This window comes from Homo sapiens, chromosome 2 (assembly GCF_000001405.40).
Source record: "Homo sapiens chromosome 2, GRCh38.p14 Primary Assembly".
In the NCBI taxonomy this organism is placed as follows: Eukaryota; Metazoa; Chordata; class Mammalia; order Primates; family Hominidae; genus Homo; species Homo sapiens.
In genome coordinates, this window is record NC_000002.12 from 25322941 (window position 1) to 25342608 (window position 19668).

At 56.7% G+C, this 19668-nt stretch overlaps 1 protein-coding gene and 1 non-coding gene across 8 annotated transcripts in view, besides 8 other annotated features; both read right to left on the minus strand.

The window, feature by feature from the left end:
- The window catches only part of DNMT3A (DNA methyltransferase 3 alpha), a 114717-nt gene extending 95067 nt beyond the window's left edge, over nt 1-19650 (minus strand). For 4 of the 7 annotated variants that reach the window (NM_022552.5, XM_047443593.1, XM_011532664.3 and 1 more), the window contains exon 1: nt 18886-18985. The gene's annotated coding sequence lies outside the window, so the exon portion shown is untranslated. Of the gene's footprint in view, nt 1-18885; nt 18986-19489 lie in introns of those variants that run through there. The other 3 variants (NM_175629.2, NM_175630.1, NR_135490.2) reach the window with 2 other exon arrangements.
- On the minus strand, nt 5700-5781 carry MIR1301 (microRNA 1301). Its single transcript, NR_031570.1, has one exon. It is a non-coding gene; the product is annotated as a microRNA 1301 (primary transcript).
- Nucleotides 7085-7585: an enhancer, noted in NCBI's record as "H3K4me1 hESC enhancer chr2:25552894-25553394 (GRCh37/hg19 assembly coordinates)". NCBI's record gives its function as "activates a minimal SCP1, AML or CMV promoter by ChIP-STARR-seq in primed H9 embryonic stem cells {active_cell/tissue: H9 hESC(primed)}" and the evidence as "EXISTENCE:reporter gene assay evidence [ECO:0000049][PMID:30033119]".
- Nucleotides 7586-8086: an enhancer, noted in NCBI's record as "H3K4me1 hESC enhancer chr2:25553395-25553895 (GRCh37/hg19 assembly coordinates)". NCBI's record gives its function as "activates a minimal SCP1, AML or CMV promoter by ChIP-STARR-seq in primed H9 embryonic stem cells {active_cell/tissue: H9 hESC(primed)}" and the evidence as "EXISTENCE:reporter gene assay evidence [ECO:0000049][PMID:30033119]".
- Nucleotides 11334-12005: an enhancer, noted in NCBI's record as "H3K4me1 hESC enhancer chr2:25557143-25557814 (GRCh37/hg19 assembly coordinates)". NCBI's record gives its function as "activates a minimal SCP1, AML or CMV promoter by ChIP-STARR-seq in naive H9 embryonic stem cells {active_cell/tissue: H9 hESC(naive)}" and the evidence as "EXISTENCE:reporter gene assay evidence [ECO:0000049][PMID:30033119]".
- Nucleotides 17708-17827: a silencer, noted in NCBI's record as "silent region_11253". NCBI's record gives its function as "represses an Ori minimal core promoter by ATAC-STARR-seq in GM12878 lymphoblastoid cells {active_cell/tissue: GM12878}" and the evidence as "EXISTENCE:reporter gene assay evidence [ECO:0000049][PMID:35858748]".
- Nucleotides 18108-18347: a silencer, noted in NCBI's record as "silent region_11254". NCBI's record gives its function as "represses an Ori minimal core promoter by ATAC-STARR-seq in GM12878 lymphoblastoid cells {active_cell/tissue: GM12878}" and the evidence as "EXISTENCE:reporter gene assay evidence [ECO:0000049][PMID:35858748]".
- Nucleotides 18448-18617: a silencer, noted in NCBI's record as "silent region_11255". NCBI's record gives its function as "represses an Ori minimal core promoter by ATAC-STARR-seq in GM12878 lymphoblastoid cells {active_cell/tissue: GM12878}" and the evidence as "EXISTENCE:reporter gene assay evidence [ECO:0000049][PMID:35858748]".
- Nucleotides 18908-19117: a silencer, noted in NCBI's record as "silent region_11256". NCBI's record gives its function as "represses an Ori minimal core promoter by ATAC-STARR-seq in GM12878 lymphoblastoid cells {active_cell/tissue: GM12878}" and the evidence as "EXISTENCE:reporter gene assay evidence [ECO:0000049][PMID:35858748]".
- Nucleotides 19178-19657: a silencer, noted in NCBI's record as "silent region_11257". NCBI's record gives its function as "represses an Ori minimal core promoter by ATAC-STARR-seq in GM12878 lymphoblastoid cells {active_cell/tissue: GM12878}" and the evidence as "EXISTENCE:reporter gene assay evidence [ECO:0000049][PMID:35858748]".

Genomic DNA, 19668 nt, shown 5'->3' on the forward strand with positions numbered 1-19668 from the left:
GTAGCAGGTCCTTCTCCCTCCCTCTGCTTGCATTCTCCTTTTCCTCTAGTGGACTCTGGTTGTTCTGCTCTACCTAGATGCCTTCCCCTCCTTCCCGGTGGGAAACGCTTGTCAAAAGGTTTTCGTTGTGCCTGTGCTGACCTCAACCCTCACCCCAGGCAAGTGGTGAGCACGTGACCAGGCAGAGCCAATCAGAGGCCTCCCTGGAACCTTTTTATCGATGCGATGGAAGGATGCTAACATGGTCGATGTGAGTCAGGGGCTGCCAGCTGCTGTCTTCCCGCCATGTGGGTGAGCCTGCCTGAGAACGAAGAGCTCAGAGATGAAGACAGAGGGATAAAGCGTTGTAGTCACTGTCTGGGCCCCTGGTCTTGCTGTTCCTGGAGGCAGGGACGTCTCTGAACTTCCGGGGACTGTGAGCTTTCACTACTTTGGTATGAGTCTATGACTTGTGGTTGACACCCTCCTGACCTAAGGGCTAATCTCAGTCCCCTCCAGGGCTCCCTGGGAGGCCAACTGCGGGGTTTCCAACACTGGCCTTATTTCTTACCAGCTGTGTGGCCTGAGGCGAAACTGTGCCTCAGTTTTCTCAGCTGTCGAGTGGGAGAAAGAACTTTCCACCTCACAGCGCTGCTGTGAAAATTAAAATGGAATGCCCTAAAAATGCTTCCAAGAGCGCCTGGCACAGAGAAAGTACTCAATAAATCTTAACGATGATTACTCTCAGATTCAACCAGCCCGCAGATTTCTCTCCTTTCTTGAAATCCCTGGAGTTCCTCTAAGTGGCCTTCGCTCAGGCAGGAGCTTGTACTTAAGCTCCTCCGACATGCCAGGCCCCGTGAGCAGAGCTTTACAATGTCAACATCTCATTAATCCTCACACCTCACCCCAACCCTTTGAAGTGGGTACTATTTTTATCCCCATTTTCCAGATGAGAATAATGAGGTATGGAGAGATTAATAAAACTGCCCAAGGTCACACAGTGGGTAAGGGGTGGAGCCAGGCACAGTCCAGGTCCACCCCACTCAGAAGCTCACAGCTCTCCACTCCCTCTCTCACAATCAGCATGTGACTGCTGCAGATCTATATTAACTTTGGGCACGGACTGGCCAGAAAACAAAGTTTCCAGTCAGTCTCTCTCTCCTGGTCAGGCTTGTCTGCAGTGGGAGCGGGGAAGGAGGGCACTGGAGCATGCTAATCACAGTATTCAATGCCCTGCCCAATGCAGTGGTCATTCACTCATTCATTCATGCAGCTATTTCCTGAGCACCTACCATGTGCCAAGCACTGTGCTAAGGAACATGCACTATCCTCAATCCTCAAAACAATCCTATGAAGCAGGTCCTATTGTTATCCCCATTTTATAGAAGACATGGAGGCTTAAAGAGGTTTAATACCTCTCTAGGGTAGCACAGCTAGAAAGCCCCAGGGCAGGATTATAAATCCAGGTCCGTGTAACTCAGAACCCTTCGCAAATGTGGCAGTTCTTGGTCATGAATGAGCATGCTAAACACACATCTCAGAGCCAGCGCCATGATCGATGTTTGTGCCTCTGGGGTGACCCTGGCCCACAGATAACAGTCCCATGGCTAAATTTCCTATTTGAGCTTAGGAGGAGGTGCAAATGTGGGTGACAGAAGGCAGCAGAGTATCTTGTGCCCCACCCCCACCCCCTGCCCAATCATCTGCTAGGGTAGGGGTCAGCTAGGGGCCAGGAGAAAGTGGAGGAGACCTCCTAGACGGAGATGTCTATCTGTCAACTCTTCCCCCTCCTGTCACAACCTCTCTTGGTCATAAGACTGGGGATGGATAAGGAGGAGGGAGAGGGAGGGGGGTCTTGGTGCCATTTTCCAGTGAGATGGCCATCACCATTCCATTGCCCTGACTTTCAGAAACATTACTTGCACCCAAACTACCAGCTGTCCATAGAATACCAAAAGCCACTGGTGACAGGCCAGCAGTCCTGCCCTCTGCAAAGCTGATTTATCTGGCTCTAGAGTCACAATAAGACGGCTTGTGGCTCTCACACCACTCTCGAGGCCATGGCACCACCAGCACTGGCACCACCAGCACTGGCACCACCAGCAGGAGCACTTATGATCACACCAAACCTGCTGCCACTACGGCGGCCACATGGGAGTCTGAGTCAGACTGCTTTGCTCACACTAATGGTTGCCATGACACAGCCCCAAAAGTGAGCGGGGGGGGGATTTATACCTAAAATAGATGCTGTTAAGGAGCTGAAGTTGTTCTCAGGAGCCAAAATGAGCCAACACAGACTTCCGTAAGGCAGCACCGATTTCCAAGTGCTGCAAGCCAGGAGAAGCCCTGTCTAGGGGTCACACGTGCTGTGGGTCAGATGGGCTTCCCACGGCCTGGGAGTCAGGGGCACAGGGTGGCACAGAGTCCATGTGAGAATCAGACACATGGTCCTGGATGGGGTCTGGCAGTGACCAGCATGGGTCTGATTTTATCATCCACAGCGGAAGCGGCCCACGGTCATCTGCATGTTTCTCTACTTTTCCAACCTTCTCTACAGCATGGTCCACAGCTGCCAGCTCCAGAGCCTCTATCACTTAGTCCCCTGCGCGTGGCCCTGTTTCCCCACCCCACAACTCTAAAACCTTCTGGGGATGCTGACCTCGTCCTCGGGGGAGAGTGCTCCCACCAGGGACATATTATAATGCTTTCCCTGGGAGAGAAGACACACACACCCACTTGGCTTTCTCGAACTCCTTACGCCACTGAACTGACAGTGGAAAAAAGGAGTTATGCCACTGTCTGGAGTGATTGATCCTAGTTACCAAGGAGAAAACTGGATTGCTGATCAGCCACAGAGCCAAGCAAGACTGTGTCTGGAACCCAGCGAATTCTCTCAGGCACCTCTTAAGAACGTCCATGCCCAAAGGAAGGCTGAATGGAAAGTTATGGTAACAACAACAAAAGCGGGATAACTAAGGATTCAGGTCCTTTGGGAATGAGGGTTTGGGTTACTCCACCAAGTAAAAGAAGCATGACCTGCTAAGGCTCTGGCTGAGTGTGGAGGAAACACAGAATGGGATAAGAAGACAATGAAGCCAGGTAGCAAGTGTAAAGTGTAGCCTTGTGAACAAATGCAGAAACCAGGCCTCTAGTGGTTTTGCACATTTTCTATTAACTTGATATATATGTGTGTGTGTGTGTGTGTGTGTGTGTGTGTGTGTGTGTGTGTGGTGTGTTTGCAATATGGTAACCATTTTCTTCTTTTTTTCTCCTTCCCATTCTTTTCTATACAAGTTGTTGACAGTTAGCTTTATAATGTAGTCTTTAGGTAACAGAATATTCAGTGAGACTGTGACTGACTTTGAGAAGTTATTGTAGCCAGGGATTGGTAGAATGATGGTTGGGGCTCTCTGGGCAAAAGGGTGAGAATTTCATAAGAAGGATAACTATCTTGATAGGTAGACATCCAGTTGTTTGTTTTTGTATGGGAGTTCAGATGTTGTAGAAAGGTGCAAATGGAAGCTGTGCAGCCAAAGGGGTAAACTGTGCCAGTTATCAGTTTATTCGCCCATCATTGCCTGTGCTGTGAAGATGGAGCTGGGCCCTTTAACTACTTTTCCTTTGTCAGCTGGCACAACTGTGGAGGGCACTGAAGAGGCATTGAAGGAGGAGGTGGGTTTCCTTTCTAGACCCAGTGTGCTCTTGTTGGGTTCCTGCATTGTATACAACTTCTCTAGCAGCCAGATCTTGCTGCATGGGCGCTTCCCAGCATCAGGGTCTTGCCAGATATGAAGCTTCCCAGCACCCAGCTCCTGTGCTGCTGCAGCTTCTCCAGCATGCAGCTTTCCAGTGCCCAGCTCCTGCAGGAGTGCCAGGCTGTTGCAATGCAGACAGCTTCTCCAGCACCTGGCTCCAGCAACACGTCAGTCAGGAGTACCCAACAGCCAGGAGCTTCTCCCAGCACTCCCCTGGGAAAACGTAGCAGCGGTGTGCTTCCAGCAAGATACCTCCCACAAACAACTTTCCTTGGGACCCAAAAAGATGGATTTCCAGTAAATTCCAGAGGGTGGATTTCCAGCAAGTTCTGCCAACATGGCATTACAGAGACGTTGCCATCCAGGGAGCCATCGCCACACCCTCTCCATCAAGGTGTGGATCTCAACCCTGCGGGGCCTCTTCCTTGGGCACTCTGTGGCAACCCTAGAGGTAGGGGCTGTTCTCATATCTATTATTTTTGTATTCTTTGGAGTTATTTTTACTTCTTACTAGCCAATTCCTCATTATTCCAATCCAATTAGAGTTAATAATTCGTTATGTGAAACTTTCCTTGTTCCAATCACCATGTGGTTTCTGTCTTCTGAATGGACCCTGACTGATACAGTCACCCGCGGCCCCAAAGGGCTTTTTTCCATCCTCATGGCCCTTGAGCTCAATTCAACATCCTGGCCAGCTAATCACTCCCTGCTTCAAGCACTCACTCAACAGCCATTTCTTGAGTGCCATTGTGGAGCCGGGCCCTGGAGTGAAAGGAGACCCCTGCTTCTGGAGCTCACCAGCAACTGCCTTCTGTGTGTTCTCTCCCAGCCATGACTCCATCTGGCTCCTTGCTTCTGGGTCTCCAGCCTCAGATTCTGCAGCTTTGTCTCTGGGGCTGTCCGGGAGTCTTGATCCCACTTCTGCACGGTGGGTGCTCCTCAAAGGTCATGTTCTACCTTCAGCTTCTCTCTAAATGCTCTTCCTCTAAGACACCTGGGCATAAGTTAACATACGCCTCCTACTGCCAGGGGCTCCAGCTCTATTTATTTTCATCCCAACTGGATGACTTGCAGTCCCTAAAATCCTACTCTTCCAGAACATGCTTCTTTCAGAGCCGGCTCTATTTTCTGGTTTTTCCCTCTATGTGGAAGTAACATTCCCCTCCCTTCAGCTGCCTAAGTCCCAAACCCTGGAGAAAACTCAGGTCCCACCTTTCCCCTGGGTCCTCACATCCAGCAGGTACCTGGTCCTTGGGCTTCTCTCGTCCCCCTATTCCCTCCAGGCCCTTTGTACCTCTTGTGTCTGTGGCACAATAACCTGGTAGATGCCCTGGAGCGGGTCCACCTGCCTCTGGCATCTCTACCTCCCACCCCACCCTATCAGCAAGGATTGCCCACACATGGCTCCCTCTATGAAAACCTATGACACCTCATGACAATTTTAAAAAGTTGATTGTGAATGTACTAAAACCATCGAACTGTACACTTATATGGGTGAACTGTATGGAATGTGAATTATATCTTAAAGCTATTATTTTTAAAAATCCGGTGATGCCAAAGATTTGCACACGTGGTAAAATATACGCTCTGGCCTGGTCTCACCAGGGCTGGCTACAACGCAGCCTCCGCCCACTGCTCTGGCCGTGCCCCCACCTCTCCCAGCTGCATCATTCCAGGCCCGGCTGCTGTCCCGGAATGACACCCCTGGCTCCCACCCTCTCCCACAGGGCCCACTCAGCTCCTCTCTCCCAGTCCTTCAACCCAACATCTCTCCTCCCCCAAAACACCGTCCCCTTCTCCTCGACCACCCACCCAGGGGTCATTGAGTGTTCCATGCGTATATAGATGTGTCTGATTTCTCAAAGAGACGAGGTCAGAGTTCATGCGTTGTATCTTGCTGCCCGTCCCCCCCGCCCACAGCTTGTCCCCCGCAACCCCGTTCCGGGTGACCCTGGAGGCAGAGAGGACTGTGTGAAGTCACTCCCAGGCAGCTGCAACATCCCCAGCACAGTGCTGCGGTGCCTAGAGCGACCCCCCACAATCCCCATTCTAGGGGTCGCTTGGCAGAGCCCCCAAGGCACTGCGTCAGTGGAAAGGCTGTTTGCAGGAGCTCCGAGGGCAGAACATACACCTGCTGTGGGTCTGCAGGCTCACCTGCCCCAGATCCCCAAGGTGAAGGGGTTGGTGAGGGCCTAGGCTATCAGTGAACCACAGGAATCAGGGGGGCTGAGTCCTTGTCTGGCCTGTGACCACCCTCTCCCCACACCGTCCATGGCCACAGTCCCCCAACCCCACTTCCTAAACCAGCTCCCTCTTGGGTCAAAACCAGGAGGTCCCCCAAAGGGTCTTCAGGGCTTGGGAGCGGCTGTTGGAGCTCGTCCCCCACCACCCCAACCAATTCAGCAGGAAGGGAGCTCGCTGCTCTCAGATTTCCCACAGGGCCGCCTTTCTCCTCATCGTCTGTCCCAACAAAAACAAACCATTTGTGGAGGGGGCCGAGGGAGGGAGAAGAGCCCAGGGTTCTGAGCAGCACATCTCAGAACCATGGGCCCTGCCTCCAGCAGTCCCTGCCTCAAACCCTGGCTCTGTCACTGAGAGATTCGGGCCTCAGTTTCCCAAGTTGTAAAGCGGGGTGAGAAAGAGTCCCTATTTCATAAGTCTATTTTAAGATAGGAGGGAATCTGAGTCAAGTGTTTAACATAGGGCCTGGCACGTGGCAGGTACTCAATAAATGATCATTTAAAAATTATTATGTGCTTGATCAGAAAGAAAGGCAAGCCATATGTTCTTAGGAAACCTAGACTCTGGCTTCAGACCACACTTCAGAGTGGCTTGTGCTCACTCCTAGGAACGGCTGCTGTGCCAGGCTCCCCCTCCCAGCTGATGCCCCTAAGTCTCCAGCCCAGGCCCCGTGCCACTAGAATGGGGAATGTATTTACCAGAGAATGTCTACCTGCCACTGTGGCCTCAGGAGTCTCTCACAGTCATGCAGACCCCACACACACACACACACACACACACACACACACACACACAGACACACAGATACAAACACACATAGATGCACACACAGAGATATACCTAGACAAATGCAGAGATGACCCAGGCGCACAGGTTCACACACGCACACAGCCCCCCTCATGCTGCACACGCTGGGGCACCTGGAGCCAGAGGATGCTGGGCGGGCCTTCCGACACAGGCACACGCGTTGCACATTTCACCTACTGTATGGGCCAAAGAGGCATTTGGAAACCAGCTTGGGAACCTCATAACCATTCATAACATTGTTCTGAGAGAAAACACAAAACATTGCCCTATAAACAAACATTTGCAATAGAATTCCTCCAAAAGCTTGGAAATGCCTGTACTAGAAAACTAACAGAGCAAGAAGAGAAAAACCACATAAACTTGGTTTGCCTCTGCAAAATTAATACCAATTACAAAAACATTTATGTGAACTGCTTACCATTTACACCTAATTACCATGCAGCACAATTATGCATATCATTAAGGGTATGCCAGATTAATTATGCTGTACATTTCATTTGATTACAACGCCACACCCTGAGTTCATGTATGCCCCACTTCCAGGGGGCCAGTCCTGCAGCATGGCTGCTTGCACAGGTCTGCACAAACCAGAGAAACGTGGATTTCCACACTCGGATGGACCGCAGCCCCCACCCCACCCCCAGCCAGAGACAGCCCGACTCCCACCCGGCCTTCTTGGCAGCATCAACAAGAGCCCCGCTGCGAAGCCATCTTCCCAGCAGATCCTCCAGAATGCAGAGATGCTTCAAAGGTCTCCCCAGGGGTGTGGCTGCATGTCACAAGGCCACCATACAGCCCAAGGGCCATCATGTACGGCCCTCACAGAGGAAGCGGCCCTCTCTGCCATCTCCTGAGGTCTGGCTCGGAAAGCAGGGCAGCCTAGCCCATGTCCAGGCCAAGTCCTTCCCAAGCTCATCTCCCAGACCCACCAGGGCTCTGTGCCCCTATCCCCTGGCACACTGAGCCAGCTACAGGGCAAGGTCCCAGCTGTGGTCCCACTGGGTCCTGCAACATCCCCCCTGTCCCCCATGCCCTCTGCTCTCCCGGACAGCTCTGCACAGACCCTCCCTCCCCTTATTAAAAAGAAAACAGGAACTGACCCCCAATAACTCCCATTTAGCTCAGTAGATGCTCTTCAAATACACTGGGTGAACCAGGTTTGCAGGGAATAATTGGGAACAAGAGAGTCAATAGAACATGACGAATGGACCTTCCCAGGAAGGGGGAACTCAAAACTTGGAGTTTTGGAGGGAACAGGAGGAAACAGGCTTCTTGGGAGGCAAAGAACCAGAGGAAGTGCAGAAGCGAGGGAGGGAAGGAAAAAATATCCAGGTTTAGTCCAAGAAGCAATGCTCAAAACAAACAACACCAGCCTGTGAAGTTATGTCCATTTTACAGATGGTAAAACTGAGCCTAAGAAAGGTTGAGTGATCTTCCAATGACACGCAGCAAGGAGGTGGCAGGGGTGAGGTGAAACCATCATCTGTCCAGTCCCCAGCCTGGTGGCCCCAGCACGATGCCACACTGCTCCTGGCCTCTATCTAAATTCAATGATGCTGACATGGCTCACGTCATTTTTTGAGAAATTCTTTGGAAATAGCCTTCCACATTATCCTTCACATAACACACATAAGCCTCCTTTCTATTTTAGAGGAACAGTTTTTGCTTCTTTTCTGTTTGCTTTCCAAAAATGCTGTCCCCAGCTTGTCCCTCCTATCTCTCTCCGCAGACCTGCCTCTGAATGGAGAGTGACGGAAAGGCTGGACAGCTTGACATCAACTTCCAGCCCACCCAAAGATTCTCAGACGGTGATGATGCTCGCCGCAGGTCCTGGGTGGAGGGCCAGGGTCTAGGCCTTGCAGCTCATCTTTTGGGGAAATCACTGTGAAGTAGAGGCGCTAACTCATCAGCATTCCCAATGCAAGGGTGCGAGCACCTTCCTCAAAATCTTCCTTCAAACATCTGCAGGGGTCGTACCAGTTACAGACTGAAATGCACCTGCCTTTCTCATCCATCGCACAAGGCACCCCGCCTCCAGGCCTTATGACTCAGGCTCCAGCCTCCTTCTGCAAGCCTGGCCTGGCTCAGCCTCCCCCTGGGGAAATCCCACCCGCCCTCAAGCCCCAGCTACAACCCAGCTCCATGTGGGAGGCACCTCCTGCTCTCTCCGACTCCCCCCAACCCATGCCCCCTCCATGAAGGGCATCCCCACCCACACAGTTGGCTGAGCTAGAAACCAGACAGCCACCCCAACTCCCCTCATTGCTTTTATCCCGCCTGTTCCTACTGACTGCACTTCCTAAATGTCACACCACGCACACCCTGTCCAGGCCCACATTGCTGCCCCGGACTTCTGTGCCAGCCTTCCACCCGGGCTCCCTGCCCCTAAACCCTATTGCCCGAGCTCTCGTCCTCGATGCCCTAGAATGATCCTTCTCAAATATAAATCCCAAGCCCAACGTCCGTTCATAACATCCCGCCTTCCATGTCCCCCGGCCCAGGCCCCTGGCTTCGTATCCCATCGTTCCCTACACTGCAGCCACATGGGGCCAGAAAGTGCCGTCGTCCACCTAGCTAACTGCTCCCTCCGCTTCGAGACTCAGCTCAAGCGTCACCTCCTTTAGAAAGCCCTTCCAGATCTTCTCTCCCCCTGAATCCGACTTCCTTCTCTGAGCCCTGGTAATCCCTGGACATGGTGTGCCAGGGGTCCTTCCGCCCTGCCAGACCCCACCTAAGCTGCAGGGTCATTGAGATGAGTGTGACCCCCTTCATCTATGCAGCCTGTGTCTGGCACACAGTAGGTCTCTTAGATGAATGGATGAACATCATTTGTGGATCTGAGGCAGGGACCTCTGGAAAGAAAACTCAAGTGCTGCCAGGCCTGCCAACTCGGGGGCCAGCATCTCGCCATGCCGTGCCCTGGCTCCCTCTGATTCCAGGCTGCTGGCAGGGTGTTGACAGAAGAAAACGCAGAGGTGACTGACTGCCCAGCCCCACTGGGCTTCCCAGCTGAGCTTCCAGTACCAGGCAGGGCCCTCAGGCCACCACCAGTTGGGCTGGGAACCACCAGCCTGTGCGTGGATGGCAACAAGCACCACATTGTTGCTGGTAATAAAACCATTAGGAGCCCTTGCTGCGTGCCAGCTGCCAGGCCGGGCTGTGGTCTAGACCCTCCCCTGCCTCCAGGCCGTGGGGCAGAGCCAGAACCCAGCAAAGGCCACTCTCCGCTTAGCTCCAAAGAGACCAGTGGGCAGGGAGGGAAAGAGGGCCCAGGCCTTGAGCAGGCTACTGGGTCCCCACATGGACAGGGGACTCTGAAGAGATCAAAAAAGGTACAGGCAAATCCTGGCTTCACAGGAAGAAGTGGAGGTGCAGAAAGGCTAAGAGAAAAAGGGACAACTTATTGGCAGCTGGAAAAAGGGACCTGGGTCAGATAACGGAAGCTAAGGAGGACAGAGACATCTTTCTCTATCCCTGCCACTCCCCTGTGGCCCCTGACTCCCAGCCCAGAGTCCACCATGGGCTTGGGGGTCATTCTCAACTTGATTATCTCTTCCCCTCACCGTGAGGGGCCATGGGGAGGACAGGCCACACTTGCAGGTCTTTTTTTTTTTTTTCTTTTGAGACGAAGTCTCACTCTGTCGCCCAGGCTGGAGTGCAGTGGCGCGATCTCGGCTCACTGCAACCTCCACCTCCCGGGTTCAAGTGATTCTCCTGCCTCAGCCTCCGGAGTAGCTGGGATTACAGGCGTGCACCATCACACCCAGCTAAATTTTTGTATTTTTAGTAGAGAGGTGGTTTCACCATGTTGGCCAGGCTGGTCTCGAACTCCTCACCTCAGATGATCCACCCGCCTCGGCCTCCCAAAGCGCTGGGATTACAGGCGTGAGCCACTGCACCTGGCCACTTGCAGGGTCTTACAGAGCAGCAGGGCCTTACAGAGCAGCAGGGCTTTGTGGGGGTCACCCTAACCAGGCAGCCCTGGAACAACCCCCACGTAAAGAAAAGCAGCTCATGCCTCCTGAGCACCTTCTCTGTGCCAGGCATAGTGCTAGCTGTTTCACAAAATATTGCACGTCATTCAGGCAACCCCTGTAAGATGAGACTGCTATTCTTATCCCCGATTTACAGATGAAAAACCTGCAGCTCCAGGTGGTTTGGGGCCAGCAGCAACTGAGCACAAATGGGGCTGAGACAGTCCTCCAGGTCGGCCTGACTCCCGAACGCCTTTTTTGCCCTGCACATCTGTCCCCTACCAGCCTTGGATTAAACAGCTGGTTTGTAGAGGGGCCAGTTCTGTGCTTGCCTCCAAGTCATAGGTCCTTTTATGTCTGTTCCTGCCTTATTCCAGGGGCAGGGTCAAAAAAGTGCACAGACCCTTCCCATGTCCTATTGAACAGGGGCAGCCTCGGGGGAAGGGAAGCCCCAAGAGGCACCCATGGGTGGGGTGCGGGAGGGTAAGGTGGAAGAGGGTGGTAAGTGCTGTTGCTAAGCAACCAGCCCTGAGCTTCCTGGGGTAGCAAGACGACTGCAGACAGAGGAACTTGTATTTGCCCCCACCTCACCTCTCCACCCCATCATCTGGGTGATCACCACCTGCTCAGGGACCCCTAGATCAGAGTTGAACCCACGTGCCAAGCAAGTTCCTAGACACCCCTTCTACCCCTTCGTGGGGCCTCCTGAAGCCCCACTTTGTCTCCCTTGGGTGTGGCCTCCCAAGAGGCTCTCACTATGCCAGGGCTGGGTCACCTGAGCTCCATACCCGGGCCGGGCCCCAGTTATACCTCCAGTTCCCCAGGAACCATTTGGGCCACAACAGCCCATCAGACTGATGCTTTTGGGGGAAGATCCTCAGTGATTTGTTCTCCACTTTGGGTCAGAAATGAGTTTCAAGTCGCCATCCTATAAAGCTAACTTTGTCCCCTGTCCCTGGCGTGGGCCAGGGTGCATGCAGTCAGCGGCCTATTTTCTGCTCTCACCTAATCCCTACCAGCCTAGGCCTTTGCTCAGAGGCCTTAATATCTGCGATATTTCTCCCTGCAACCTTTCCGGAAAAGACACGTACCTGAGTAAGCTTACCCCTTGCTGTCAGTCTCTAAACCAGTTTCTTATCCATTATAAAAAAGAGTCCATCCCTCAGCCTTAGGTGACTTAATTCTTTTTTCTACTTTCTCATCCACAGGCTTTTAAAAAGTGTAGTTTTATTTTTGTTGTTGTCATTAAGAAAGTAACTCAAGTTCATTTACATTTTTTCAAAGAAAACGAAAGTGTACAAAGTTAAAAAGCAAAAACTTGTTGACAGGTTTGTGTGTATCTTTCCAGAACAACTTTTCCATGCATGTGCAAACCTAAACATGTGTATATTTGTATCGATTTTAAAGAATTTCACAAAACTGAGATTACACTATGAACTTTTTTTTTTTAACCACAACACTACTGCATGGGGATCTAACACATCAGAACAGACTCGCCTACCACCTTGTTTCAAAGGCTTTTAGGGAATCTAAGTGGATTCCCCTTTACCCATGCATTTATTTATCACTTCGGGAACCTATACAAGTAATCGTGCAGGCCTTCCAGAAGCCTCTTTCCAAACAGGTTCTGCTCACTGGGGTGCTGGGGAATCCCACTGGCTTGGCAGGGGCAGGGGCGAACTCGCCTGTGTCTCCCGGGGTCCTCCAGGGAGTGGCGGGGGAGGGACACTCCGAAGGCCTCCTGCCCCCAGACCATGGCCGTTCCCAAGTATTCCCCAGGACACAGCCCACACTCAACAGCTTAGTGAGATGCAAATCTAACCCACACCCCATAATCTCTAAGCATCTTTTTACCTTTTCAAGGAAGGATCACTGGAACCCATGACCCAGCTGATCTATCAGATCTCGAACATCTGCACTGAGCCCCCCTCCCCTTTCATTATAGTAAGAAGAGCATTAGACTAGGAGTCAGGAGACCCAAGTTCCAGCTCTCCGGTTACTGGCTATAAGAGATGGTCCTCCGTCCCCTCTGTGCACTCAGACGGGGCAGCTAATAACTGGCTCAGAATTAAAAATGACCTTGACATTTGAAACAGAAGCAGAGAGGAAAGATCAATAGGGATGGTGGTGAGCAGGGCCGTGACCACAGGAAAGAGAAAATAGGAACCTGGTCATATATCTAAATAAGGCTGGGCAGCCTTTAAGGGTCAGAGAGGACCACAGTAGGACAGGAGTAGGCAACATAGAGCTGCTGCTGAAAAAAAAAAACAAACCACTCCATACTGGGATTTAGCTAGGAAAGCCCCAGGCGTCTGCACCTCCCTTACCCCCACCTCCACTGCCCACCAAGCACCCTTGCTGTCCTCCAGACAGGTTGGTGGCCTGTGATGTGATCAGCAAGGGAGATTTGGCCCAGAAGGCCCTGCCCACCAGCTGTTCTTGCAGGGGGCTGCCAGGCACCTGCACTCATGCCTGGGGGCCTGGGCCGTCTGCAGGGCACCTCCCCTCTGGGTTGGTGGCTCGGTTCTGCCCAGCGTGTGTGTTGGGGGACAGGGTCAGGCTGCAGAGACAGGAACCTGACGTCTTCACCCCCATTTCCCTGGCACTGGCAGCCCCTTGCAGGAATGTTCTGGATGCTGGGGCGCCTCAGCCTGATGGAGTGGGCAAGGGGGGACATGGAGACCTCTGGGAGGCCAGAAAAGGGACCCTTCTCCACCTGCCACATCCTCAACCATGACTGCTATCACTCGCTCGCAGACCAGACCTGACCCTGGCCTCCCCCTTAATCGTCACAACCCCCTGGGGTCAGTGTAATTTAAACCCTGTTCTGTTGCTCTCCAAGTCTGAGCTCTTAAGCTCTGGTCTATGGAATAGAAAGAATCAGGATCCGACACCAAATGAGCTCATTTGGCCCCTTCCCCTCCCTCCCTGCTGTCCTCTCTCCACCCCTACCCCCACTGGCCGCCACGCTGAGGCAGTTCAGAGCGATCCTCCGTGGGCCACAGAGGAGTTCCGGAGTGCAGGGATCTCCTCCCCAAACCAAGGCAGGGCCTCAGCCTGGCCTCCAGCACAACCCAGGCCCCAGTCCACCTCCCGGGCACTACAGCCACCCACAATGATGTCCTGCCCCTGAAGCCCCACTTCTGTGCTCTGGGGCGCTTCTGAGATGCCACCTCCTTCAAGAAGCCTTCCCTGATGACCTTAGTTGGTTGTGACCTCACTCTCCTTTGAGCACTTTATTTCTCCCTCTCCAGTGACCCCAGTCCCACTCTGCAGTTCTTCGTTAGCTGGGCGCATCCTAAACACACCGTGTCCCCTCAAAGCCAGCACAGGGCATGGCTTACAGGAAATGCTCAGCACATCTCTGGAAAATGGAAGCGAATACGGTGGGAAAGTGCTGCTGCACTCAAGACAGGATGAGAATAACGAGCTGAAACTACAGCGGGAGGGATTTCAGGTGGAAGCAAAACAACCTGTTGACACGAGATTTGTTCAACTCAACAGATTGCTAAGTGTCGCTGAGAAGCCTCCCACCTCCCAGGATTTTTAATCAGAATCGGCACTTTCCTCATCTGACCAAGATTCTGCAAAAGACACAGGAAGGTGGACGAGGCTTCTTAGAGCACTTCCTGCAGTGCTAGTCCACGTGAGCCACCCAAATGATGAAAACAGACACAGCTAACAGGAGGGCTCCCGCTCCTCTAAGGCTGTAACGCACATGATCTCACTCCATCCTCACAACCACCTGTAAGCAGAATCCACGCACACTCCCATGTTACAGGTGAGGAAACTGAGGCCCAGGGAATCGAGTTGTTGCCCAAGTTCCTGCCGCTGGGAGGTGTCAGAGTGCAGCTCCCTGTGACTCGAGGGCCTCAAGCTGCCTTGACACTGGCTCATGTGGAAGCAAGTCCTACCCATCCACAGGTGGCGGCACACCACGTACACACACATCATGCACAGACACATGTGCACTGAACCTCGTCTTGCCCACACACTTAGCCAAGTGGAGGCAGGCTCGGATACAGACATAAATCTCAGGCTGACACTTCATGGATCTCAGATTTGGTCATGTTCTTAGGGAAAAATCGTCAGAGAGAAATGATTGAAAATGAGCCCTCAAAATTAAAGTGGAAAGGGATCTGGCACCTTTAGTAGACCATTAAAGCCCTGCTCAGGAACAGCAAAGTCCCTGCAGAAACCCAGCCTCAGGCCAGGTGGGCTTCTGACGGGCTCTCTGCTCACATACTAATATTCAAACAAAAGTAGAAGCTATTCCCCGAGGGCCGCAGCATGGGGAATGGCATTGGGGTAGATGCTCTGGCCCTACCTGCTGGAGGCCAGAGACACACTCAACTCCCAGTGGGGCACGGGGTGGGGAGGATACGAGCACCAAGTCCAGGACCCCAGGCCAGCAAGTTGGAGGCAGCAGGAAGTACCCTGGGAGAGGCATGTGACTGGCACGTGAATGGCCCTCCAGGCCTCAGGCTCTGGGTAGCATGGACAACCCTGGGAAGAACTGGGCACCACCTCCCACAAACAGTCCCGTACCCAGCACTAAGAGCTCTCAGAGCTTAAACTCCTCTTTCAGACTGCAATTCTAAGGTTTGGGTTCTAATGCTGACATTTCGGGCCCAAAGATGGGGAGAGGGTGGTCTGTTTTAACTCACCCATTAGAGTCCTCTTTCTACCTGGATCCCAAAAAGAGAAGCCTTGGGGGAGTCTGGCTCTTGCTGGGAAAGAACTTGGGTCTTTCAGGGAGGTGTGACCCTGAGGAGCTGGCCTGTAAGTAGGCAGTGGCCGCTGGGCAGCGGCGCACAGCAGCAGGGGGAAGGGAGCCCAGCACTAACCTGCCTCGCTGCCTCGGGGAGAGGACTGGAGGGCAGTGCGCTCCCCTCGCTCAGCAGACACCCTCGGAGGCCTCACCGCTTGTCCAATGGGGACCCAGGGAGGCAAGGCCCCTGTTTCCTGGAGATCACAAACTGAGAGCGGGGACAGACACATGCAGCAGCCCAGGTAAGAGGTATAGCATGGGGCATCTTCCCCCGAGTGCAGGCCTGGCTCCACTTCTTCCTGCCGGTGACCCTGGACAAGGATTTTACCGTTTGTCCTGTCTTCCTAGCTTTTTGAGAACCACTGGCAGAGGTGGGTGTGAAAGCGATAGTAAAACATCCATAAGGGACTGAGGAGCTTACTGTGAATTGGACTTGAAAAGGAAACCTCAGAAATTATCCACACACAGGGATTTATACACAAACCTACAGGATACACACGTGCCGAGGCTTAAAGGAGGCTGTACTTTTTACACCCTCTGCAGAGTCGGACGTGACCAACCCGTCTCTTGCAGGGACCCTCCTCACACTGCCTCTCCTTCCCAAGGCCCAACTCGCTGGGCGCCCTGATCTCTCTCATATCTCCTTCTCCTTGGAAGCCTTCCCCTATTACTGCCATGTGCCGAAAAACAGACCACCCTGTCCCCATTGCTAGGCCTGAAATTCCACCACTAGAATCAGAGCCATAGAATGTCAAAGCTGGAATGGACCTTCCGGCTCTAGTCCAACCCCCACCCCACAGAGGAATCCTGTCCGCAGACACCCTGACAGATGGCTGCTGGCGTCCTTTCCTAGGCTTCTCCAGGAAGGACTCAGAGGGCAGCCCTGTGGACCAGTCCACTCCTTGAGTCTAGAAGGAATTCACCTTTCTTAGGGTCAGTCTCCTATGGAAGGCACTGGTGCCTGGGTGGGGTAACGAGGGAAGTTTGGTCGGCCTGAATCCGCAGCTGCTTATCTGGGGAGGAGCTGCACAGAGGAGGGGGACCCACCAGGGAGGCAGGCAGGTGCCAGAGCTGCTGCACAGGCCAGCCTGGTCCCTCGCCTGGAGCCAGCACATGTGCACACACAGACTCCCACCTTGACAGAGCCACCTGTCACAGCCCAAGCAGGGCCTCGGTAGAACCTGGAGGCAGAGGGGGACCATTTTGCCCCAGAAACCCAGCAGGAACTCCCTACAACCCAACTCTCCAAAGGCAGGCAGCTCAGAAAACTACCTGGAGATGGCCCCTGCTAGCCAACCAAAGAGGGTCCCCGGGATGCCTGGCCCCCCAAATCCCACAGGCCAGTCCTAACACCCAGGCAATAGCAAGGCGAATAGCTCCCCTGGCTGCAGCTGTCACATCTGCCCGCGAGGGAGGAGGCGACACTGGAGCAGCACCTGATCCCAGGATCCCTTCGTAGCCGCCCGCCCAGGAGGCGGGTTCAGCCGCTGGCAGCCTAGGGTGAAACATGAAGACTGAGCAGGCCCTCAGGGATGCTGATGGCAGTCTCTGGGCACGGCAGTGAGGGGCAAGTTGGGTCACAGGGCGGACAGCGCTTCTCCCCAAGGCTTCTGTCCCCGCTGGTTTGGAGGGGGGGTAGCTGCGCGGCCCTGGGGCTCGGCCCTGCCCACCCTCCCGCCTGCCGCAGGCCAGAGCTGCCCTGCTGGGTGCCAGACGCCATGTTGGGTCAAGGTGCAGCCGCAGGGGGCTCCCCTCAGGAGCCGGGGGAGGCAGCCCCTGGGAACCAGAGGGCACTGCTCCCCGCCCAGGGCGCCAACACCTCCTCAACTGGCCGTGCAGCGGAGAGAGGGTGCCAGGACGGAGGGGATGAGGAGAGGGGGAGAAATGGCAGAGGGGCGCTGGGGTGGGAGAGGGTGCCCCCAAGAAGGGAGGCTTCAGGAAAGCGAAAAGCAGTTTGGCAGCCCCAGGGCCGCGGGCCCCAGCGATGAGGGGCTGGGGGAGGCCAGGGGCGGGCCCTGGACCCGCGCCAGCCCGGTCCGCGCCGAAGGGGAGGGAAGGCAGGGCGGCCTGGGGGAGGGGAACTGGGGTGAGGGCGGGACACGGACAGCCGCCGCCTGCGGCTCCGAAGCTCGAGGTCTCCCGGGGTGCGGGGACGTGGGGCCGAAGACCCCGCTCCGCAGCCGCGGCGAGGCCTCGTCCTTCACTGTGCAGATGCGAAGCTTTCAAGGACACGTCTGCACCGGCCCGGCGGGGTGCGTGTGCGTGAGTGTGTCCGCGTGCGTGGGAGTGTGCGCGGGGGTGCTGGAGGGGCGACCCCGGGCGTACCCCCCCTGCGCCGCTCCCGGTCCCGGCCCCGCTACTTCCACCCCCGCGTTTTCCGGCCCCCGCGGCCCGGGCCCGGGCCCGGGATCCTCGCCCGCCCCCGCCCCGCCCCCACATTGCGGCGCCGCCACCGCGGCCGCCCGGGCACCCACGGCCCGCGGTGGGGACAGGGAGGAGCCGGGCACGACCACCCCTCTCCGTGCCGCCGGCACTCCGGGGGAAGGTGTGCCCCCAAGGCGGGCGCTCTCCCCGGCCCCGCCGCCCCTCCCGGCCCCGCCGGCGCCCCGCACCCCCAGCCACAGGTGGCCGGAGGAGGATCGCGGCGCGGCGCTCCCCGGCCCGGCCCCGCCATCACCCCTCGGCCCGCCCCCGGGGGCCTCCCGGGTCCCCCGCCCCGCGGGGCCGAGGAGGGCCGGGCGCCGGGGGGAGGGGCGGGGGGCCGGGTCGTGCCAGGCTGCCATTTTCTGCCGCCGCCGCGGAGCCTGCGCGGGGCCCGGCCCCCGCCCCCTCCCCCGCTCCCCCGGGCCGCCGCGGGGGCCGATCCTTCTGGGTCGGGGTCCGCGCCCTCCGGCGCCCTGGCCGCGGGCTCCAGGCGGGGCCGCGGGGCTGGGGCAGAGCCCGGAAGGCGGGGGCGGCCCGGCCGGGGCCCCTGCGGCAGCGGCGAGCCGGGCACCGCGGCGCAGGCCGGCGGTGGAGGGGCCCCCCGCGGCATTGTATAGACTTGAACTTGAGCCCGGAGCCGGGCGGGGGCGGGGAGGGGGGTCCGCGCCGGGAGCGGGCGGGACGGGAGGGGGCGCCTGCCGAGCCCGCGGGGACATAAACAAACCCTCAAATCCCCCGCGCCGCCCCGGCCAGCCCGGCCCGCCGTCCCCGCCTGCAGTCCCGGCCCCACGGGCGCCCGGCGCCGAGTTGCAGGGGTCCGGGAGCGTGCCCCGAGCCGGGCACTGCCAGCCGCGGCGCCCCCCGCCCGGCTCCCCGGCTCCCCGCCGCCTCCGGGCCGGCCTTCCGGGCCGCCAGCAGCGGCGCTCATTACCGTATGGCCGGTGGGGTCGGGCCGGCCCGGCTGCGCGCCCTGGTGCCGCGGCGCCGCGTCCCGGCTCGTCCTCTGCTCTCGCCGCCGCCGCCGCCCGCGCGCCCTCCCTCCCTCCCGGCCCGCCTGCCTGCCTCGCTCGCTCGCTCCCTCCCTCCGCTCGCTGTCGCGCTCCCTCTCTCCGCCTCCTCCGCCGGGTCCCCCCCTCCCACCCCTTCTCTCCGCCTTCCTCCTTCCCTCCCTCCGGCCGCCCGCGGGCCCAGGCCTCCGCCCGCCGCTCGCCCCCCGCGGCCGCGCTGGCCCCGGCCCCGGCGCTGCGGAGCCGGCCCGGGAGGCAGCGCCGACTGGGGGGCCCCGGGGCGCCGCGGCGGGAGCGGCCTGGGCGCGCGGCCGGTCCTAGCGCCCTCGGCGCGACTTCCCGGCCTCTGCGGCCCCGCCGGGGTCCCCGCACGCCGCTTGGCGGAGGTCTGGACCCCGCACCGCCCAGACCGGGGGCCGGGCCCCGGGCGCCCCGCCTCGGCCGCGCTCCCGGCCACTCAGAGCCCCTCGAGTCGTAGCCGAGCTCCGGGCCTCGCCGCAGCCCTCCCCACGCTGGGCGCCCCGCTACCTGGCGCTGCTTCTGCGCTGGGTCCCCGCATCCAGCACTGGCCGCAGGGACAGCGGCCCCTCCTCTCCCCGGGCCGGTGTCAAGTGCCTCCCCCCGCAGCCCGCGGAGCCCCCGGCGGCCTTCGCCCTGCAGTTCTCCCGACCTCCGCCAGAGCCCACTGCGCTCTGCCTGCCTCAGCA